Source organism: Homo sapiens, chromosome 21 (genome assembly GCF_000001405.40).
Source record: "Homo sapiens chromosome 21, GRCh38.p14 Primary Assembly".
NCBI classification, from domain to species: Eukaryota; Metazoa; Chordata; class Mammalia; order Primates; family Hominidae; genus Homo; species Homo sapiens.
Window position 1 is genome coordinate 10607574 of NC_000021.9, and position 6143 is coordinate 10613716.

The 6143-nt window shown below is 39.2% G+C and overlaps 1 pseudogene; it reads right to left on the reverse strand.

The window, feature by feature from the left end:
- SLC25A15P4 (solute carrier family 25 member 15 pseudogene 4) lies at positions 4682-5805 on the reverse strand (annotated as a pseudogene).

Sequence of the window (6143 nt, forward strand, 5' to 3'; positions counted from 1 at the left end):
GTGAATAGGGAGGAAAATACTTAGCTGGCTCAGTGAAGATTAAGATCTGTCTTTTTCAGTACTAGAAACACAGGAAAGAAGGAAACTCCCTTTTTTATTTTAAGGATTTCCCTTTTTGAAATAAGGAGATTACCATTAAGGTTTCTCTTCCCCAGACCTCCAAGACCCATCAAAATTTCTGGAAATTGTGAGTTGTCACACTATTCTGCTTTTGCTTATTCAAAGAAAACTCATTTAAGGCCTCTTTGGGTGTTGTTTTCTTAGAATGCAAAATGAATGATTCTTTGAACAACTCAAGAAACTTAGATCAGAATGATACTCATGTCTTAAAATTTTAGCTTTAATTTTAAATATGGGGGTATGTGTGCAAGTTTGTCACATCAGTATATTGCACCCCGGTAGAGAGCATAGTACCCAATAGGTAGTTTTTCAACCTGCACCCCTCTCCCTCCATCCCCCTCTAGTAGTCCACAGTGTCTGTTGTTCCCAACCTTATGTCCAAGGGTACCTGTTGTTTAGCTCTCATAGGTGAGAATATGTAGTATTTGGTTTTCTGGTCTTGCATTAATTTGCTTAGGATAATGGCCTCCGGCTCCATCTACGTTGCTGCAAAAGACCTGATTTCACTCATATTTATGGCTGTGTAGAATTCCATCGTGTGTATGTACCACATTTTCTTTATCCAATCCACCACTGATGGGCACCTAGGTTGACTCCATATCTTTACTATTGTGAATAGCACAGCAATTAACATATCAGTGTGTGTGTCTTTTGGTAGAGTGGTCTTTTTCCCATTGGGCATATATCCAATAGTGGGATTACTGGGTCGAATGGTAGCTCATTTTAAGTTCTTTGAGAAATCTCCAGACTGCTTTCCACAGTGGCTGAACTAATTTACACTCCCACCAACAATGTATAAACGTTCCCTTTTCTCTGCAGCCTTGCCAGCATCTGTTGTTTTTGACTTTTTATTAATCGCCATTCTGACTAGTGTGAGATGGTATCTCATTGTGGTTTTGATTTGCACTTCTCTGACAATTCGTGAAGTGAAGCATTTTTCCAGATGCTCATTGGTCACTTGTATGTCTTCTTTTGAGAAGTATGTGTCATGTTCTTTCCACATTTTTAATGGGGTTATTTGGTTTCTGCGTGTGGATTTGTGTAAGTTCCTTATAGTTTCTGGATATTAGACCTTTGTTGGATGCATAGTTTGCAAATGTTTCCTCCTGTTCTCTGGGTTGTCTGTTTGCTCTGTCGATCGTTTCTCTTGCTGTGCCAAAGCGCTTTAGCTTTATTAGGTCCCACTTGTCAATCTTTGTTGTTATTGCAATTGCTTTTGGGGACTTAGTTAAAAATTCTTTCCGAAGGCCAATGTCAAGAAGGGTATTTCTGAGGTTTTCTTCTAGGATTTTTATCACTTGAGGTCTTACATTTAAATCTTTAATCTATCTCCAGTTAATTTTTGTATATGATGAAAGGTATGGGTCGAGTATCATTATTCTGCATATTGCTAGCCAGTTACCCCAACACCATTTATTGAATAGGGAGTCCTTCCCCCATTGCTTGTTTTTGTCAGCCTTGCAATATCAGGTGGTTTTAAGTGTAAGGCTTTATTCTGGGTTTTCTATTCTGTTCCATTGGTCTATATGTCTGCTTTTGTACCAGTACCATGCTGTTTTGGATAATATAGCCTTATAGTTTGAAGCCTCTGGCTTTGCCTTTTGCTTAGATTTGCTTAGGCTATTGAGGCCCTCTTTTGGTTTCATATGACTTCTAGAATACTTTTTTCTAATTCTGTGAAGAATGACATTGGTAGTTTGATAGAAATAGCACTGAATCTGTCAATTGCTTTGGGCAGTATGGCCATTTGAATGATACTGATTCTTCCAATCCATGAGCATGGAATGTTTTTCCATTTAATTGTGTTATCTCTGATTTCTTTCTGCAGTGTTTTATAGTTCTTGTAGAGATCTTTCACATCCTTTGTTAGCTGTATTCCTAGTTATTTCATTTTCCTTGTCGCTACCATAAATGGGATTCTGTTCTTGATTTAACTCTCAGCCTGGACATTATTGGTGTATAGAAATGCTATTGATTTTTATACATTGATTTTTTATCCTGAAACTTTGCTAAAGTTATTTATCAGTTCTAGTAGCCTTTTGGCAGAGTCTTTGCTTTTCTGGATATAGAATCATATCATCAGTGAAGAGAGATAGTTTGACTTCTTCTTTTGCTATTTGGATGCCTATTCTTTCTTTCTCCTGCCTGAGTTCTCCAGGTAGGTCTTCCAGTGCTACGTTGAATAGGAGTGATGAGAGTCGGCATCATTGTCTTGCTCCATTTCTCATGGGGATTGTTTCCAACTTGTGCCCATTCAGTAGGTTGGTGGCTGTGAGTTTGTCATAGATGGCTCCTATTATTTTGAGGTATGTTCCCTTGATGCTGAGTCTGTTGAGGTTTTTAATGTGAAGGGATGTTGGATTTTATCAAAAGTTGTTTCTGCATCTATTGAGATGATGATATGGTTTTTCTTTTAGTTCTGCTTATGTGGTGAATCACTAAATGTGATTTACCACATTTAGTATGTTGTAAATATGAACATCATATTTGAACCAGCCTTGCATCCCTGTACTGAAGACTTGATTGTGGTGGATTAACTTACTGATGTGCTGCTGGATTCTGTTTCCTAGTATTTGGTTGAGAATTTTTGTGTCTATGTTAATCAGAGTAATTGGCCTGAAGTTTTCTTTTTGTGTGTTTCTCTGCCAGATTTTGGTATTAGGCTGATGCTGGCTTCATAGACTGAGTTAGGGAGGAGCCCCTCATCCTCAGTTCTTTGGAATAGTTTCAATAGAACTAGTACCAGTTCTTTGTACATCTGGTAGAATTCAGCTCTTGCGTCATCTGGTCCAGGGCTTTTCCTTGTTGGTAGATTTTACATTAATGATTTGATTTTTGAACTCGGTATTTGTCTATTTAAGGTTTCAATCTCTTTCTAATTCAATCTTGGGAGATTGTATGTTTCCAGGAATTTCTCCATTTCCTCTAGATTATCTAATTTGTGTGCATAGAGTTGTTTATAGTATTCTCTGAGGATCTTTTGTATTTCTGTGGGATTGTTTGTAATGTCATCTTTGTCATTTATGATTGTACTTATTTGGCTCTTCTCTTTTTTTCTTTGTTTAGCTATCAGGCTATCCATCTTGTTTATTTTTTGAAAAACTAATTATTGGTTTCATTGATCTTTTGTGTGGATTTTTGCATCTAGTCTAAAAAAACAGCACCTCAAAAAGCACTTCATTCAGTGCTTCTCTAATTTTAGATATTTCTCTTCTGCCAGCTTTGGAGTTAGTTTATTCTTTTTTTCTAGTTCCCTTAACTGCAAAGTAGGAAAGTTAATTTGAGATATTTCTAACTTCTTGATGAAGGCATTTCGTGTGTAAACTTTCCTATTAACACTGCCTTAGCTGCATCCCAGAGATTCTGGTATGTTGTGTCCCTATTTTCATTAATTGTAAAGAATTTTTTTATTTCTGCCTTAATTTAGTTTTTCACCCAGGAGTTATTCAGGAGCAAATTATGTAATTACCATGTATTTATGTAGTTTTGAGAGATCTTCTTGATACTGATTTCTATTTTTGTCTCACTGTGGTCAGAGTGTGTGCTTGGTATGATTTCAAACTTTTTGAATTTATTGAGGCTTGCTTTATGGCCAAGCATGTGCTTGATCTTAGAATATGTTCTGTGTGCACATAAGAATGTATCTTCTGTGTTTGTTGGGCAAAGTGTTCTGTAGATGTCTATCAGGTCCAATTGGTCAACTGTCAAGTGCGAGTACAGAGTTTGTTAGTTTTCTGCCTCAATGATCTGTCTATTGCTGTCAGTGGGTTGTTGAAGTCTCCTGCTGTTATTGTGTGTCTAAATCTTTTTGTAGGCCAAGAAAAACTTGTTTTATGAATTTGGGTGCTCCAATGTTGGGTGTGTACATATTTAGGCTAGGTCTTCTGGTTGAATTGTGTCCTTTATCATTCTATAAGGAATGCTCTTCTTTGTCCTTAATTTTTATTCATTAAAAATATGTTTTATTTGGCCAGGTGCAGTGGCTCATGCCTGTAATCCCAGCACTTTGGGAGGCTGAGGCGGGTAGATCACGAGGTCAGGAGTTCGAGGCCAGCCTGACCAACATGGTGAAACCCTATCTGTACTAAAAATACAAAAATTAGCCAGGTGTGGTAGAGCACCCCTGTAATCCCACTTACTCGGGAGGCTGAGGCAGGAGAATTGCTTGAACCCAGGAAGCAGAGGTTGCAGTGAGCCGAGACTGCACCACTGCACTTCAGACTGGCAAGAGACTGAGACTCCATATTAAGAAAAAAAAAAATCAACCACTTAGAATAGTAACACACGTTAAGCAGATCCTGCACCTAGAATGGGTTAAGCAACCATTTGTAAGCATCTTCATGAGAAATGATCACTTCTGGGTTTTTCTGGTAACATTTGAAATAAACATGGAACCAAACTGTATTTCCCTCAGCACATAACTGTCCAAATTACATGTGCAAGTAGAGGTTTATGTAAAAGCCCTGACAGAACTGTACTCAGTCTTTTGAATTAGGTGCATAAGGCTACTGACCACTCTCTATTTTACCAAGGGAAAGAGCAGTGACTTCTCTATTTCAGTACAATTATGGGCAGAAATGACATGATGCAAAATAGAGGTTCTTCCATACAATTTAAGATGTAGGGTATAAGGGAAGACGAAAAAGCAAAATTCCCAAGAAATCAGAATAACTTCACACTGGTCTTGTACTACAAGAAACCCTGAGATGAACTGTAGTCCTCAAACACCTGTGCTTGGCTCAGGCCGTCCAAGACACTTCAGTATGCTTCCAACTGGCTCATCATCAACTTCCTGGTATATTCGTCGGCCAAAAAGAGTGCTAAATCGTCAGGTAATGCTCGAATCATAGTAGGTTTCAGTCCAGAATGTAAGGCCATTATTCCTAGAAGACAAAAGGGCAAGCAAAGACTGCAACAATCCCTCCTTTGGGGACACCCACGCAGCTGCATTGCACAGGTATATTTACACATGCAAATCCAGACAAGAGTGCTAAAAACCAACAAGTCATGGAAGGACGCATTCCCAGCTTTCCCTAAATAGACCAACAGAAACAAGGACAAGTATCAGGTCTCCTGGCAAAACTGACTGATGCTCAGGTAACATACCCCAATTCCATGCTTGGTTAACTCTTAGTACATGGATGGGGCAGTGTTGAGGCCTGAGACGGCCAGACAGATGCAACCATGGAGACAGAGGTGGCCACAGCTTTGCAGCTTCACCTGGGCAGTGGCAAGAGCACCAACCTTGAGGTTGGAGACTGGTTTATAATATTAGTACTGCCCAGGGTGGTTATGAAGATTGAATTAGATAAGGGAGGTATAAGTACTGTGTAAAACTTCGCATGTTATACAAATTTAAGGGAGGATTACTATGAGTAATAGACAAGTTATCTGTGCTCTATTTGGGACACAAAGTTTCTGTGTTACCGTTCTCTTTCCTTTTACAATCAAAACAGAGAAGTTCACTTCTCAGATTTTAAGATGTATACTAGATGCTGTAAAAACAGGTGTTTATTCACCTTCATTTTTCACAACATTTATAAAAGTTCTGATAAATCCTGCCTGTTTTCAAGACATGGAAAGAACTTGAATTCTGGATTTGATACAATCCACTAGATATACCGCAAGCCAGAGGCAAATCCCGCCAACTCCCTCCACCACTTAACATCAAAGGGACAGGGCCTAGATAAAAAAAAAATAGCAAATGGTATTTTATCTCAAGAACAGCTGATGTGACATTTCCAGAGGTCAGCGTAGTAATGGCTGCAGGCAGGTGCAAATAGAAATGCTAGTGCTATGGAAGAGTTCTTTGTGGAAACTGTCAAAGCTCTTGTTCCCAGGCTCTAAGAACACAAGGTTTTGTTTGGTAGCCCAGGTCTACGCCTGGGTCTTGCCAAGTACAAGAAGCTCTAGTGAGGGTTGTATTTCGTTTGGTCACTGAGGTGTCGAGGGCTGGCCCACACGAACCAGCAGGCCTCCAGCTGAGTGGCAACCCCTCACGGTGGGGAGAAGACAGGCCAAAC